The sequence below is a fragment of the Homo sapiens genome, chromosome X, assembly GCF_000001405.40.
Source record: "Homo sapiens chromosome X, GRCh38.p14 Primary Assembly".
Classification (NCBI taxonomy): domain Eukaryota; kingdom Metazoa; phylum Chordata; class Mammalia; order Primates; family Hominidae; genus Homo; species Homo sapiens.
The window spans coordinates 149,073,931-149,074,755 of record NC_000023.11 but is presented as its reverse complement, the minus strand read 5'-3'; the positions used below and the strand labels follow the sequence as shown (position 1 = coordinate 149,074,755).

The window sequence follows — 825 nt, the reverse complement described above, 5'->3', positions numbered from 1 at the left end:
AGCCACTCAATCAGAGTGTGGTCATTTTGCCCTTTGCTAACTGTTGGCTCAGCTGCAGCCACTGACAAAGGGAGGGGTTAGTTGTAATAGAAACCAGCTTCTCCATCTCAGAGGCAGAGCAGGAAATGCTGTCAGCGCCTTCGTCCCAAAGGCAGAGTAACCAAGCAGGGAGGGGCTCCCCCGGAAGCTGCTGACATTGCTTGCCTAACTCCCGCAGCTCAGTGGGGGTATAGGCACTATAGGAAGTCTGTTCCACCACGGTAGGGGGTCCCTGAGGCCCCATCGGCTGCTCATATTCTACCTTCTGATGGATCATGAGGTAAGCCCGCAGTGAGGGAGCTTCCTCCTCCTCAGCATCAGACCAAACAGGAGTTTCTGGCCAGGAGGACAGGCTCAAGGTCGCACTGACGGCAGTCTCTAACTCCTGTTCCAGGCCGTTTATCTGGACCACTAAGCACCCTGTTTGCGCCTGGATGTCCCTTACCCCCAGGTTTTTCTCCAAGCTGTGTATTTGGGCCCCCAGGCACGTGGCTAGTGCTTGAAGGTCCCTTACCTGTGCAGCATCCCGCAGGGACTGAACATGTACTTCCCACAGTTCAGTCAGAAACACCCATCCGACTCTGCCAGTGAAGGTGCATTTCTTCTCAGTGCTATGTGCTTCCAGCTCCTTCAGTGCTTTCTCCACACTCATGGGAGACCCCTCCACTACCTCCCATGTTTCCTTTGGGGCCCATCCTAGTAGCACCACTGCCACCGGGTACCACAACCCATTCTGCAGCCACATAGCCAACCCGGGAGCCTCAGGGGCTTAAGGCCCACTCACCT

At 55.8% G+C, this 825-nt stretch overlaps 1 annotated feature.

The window, feature by feature from the left end:
* Nucleotides 211-370: an enhancer, noted in NCBI's record as "active region_30011". NCBI's record gives its function as "activates an Ori minimal core promoter by ATAC-STARR-seq in GM12878 lymphoblastoid cells {active_cell/tissue: GM12878}" and the evidence as "EXISTENCE:reporter gene assay evidence [ECO:0000049][PMID:35858748]".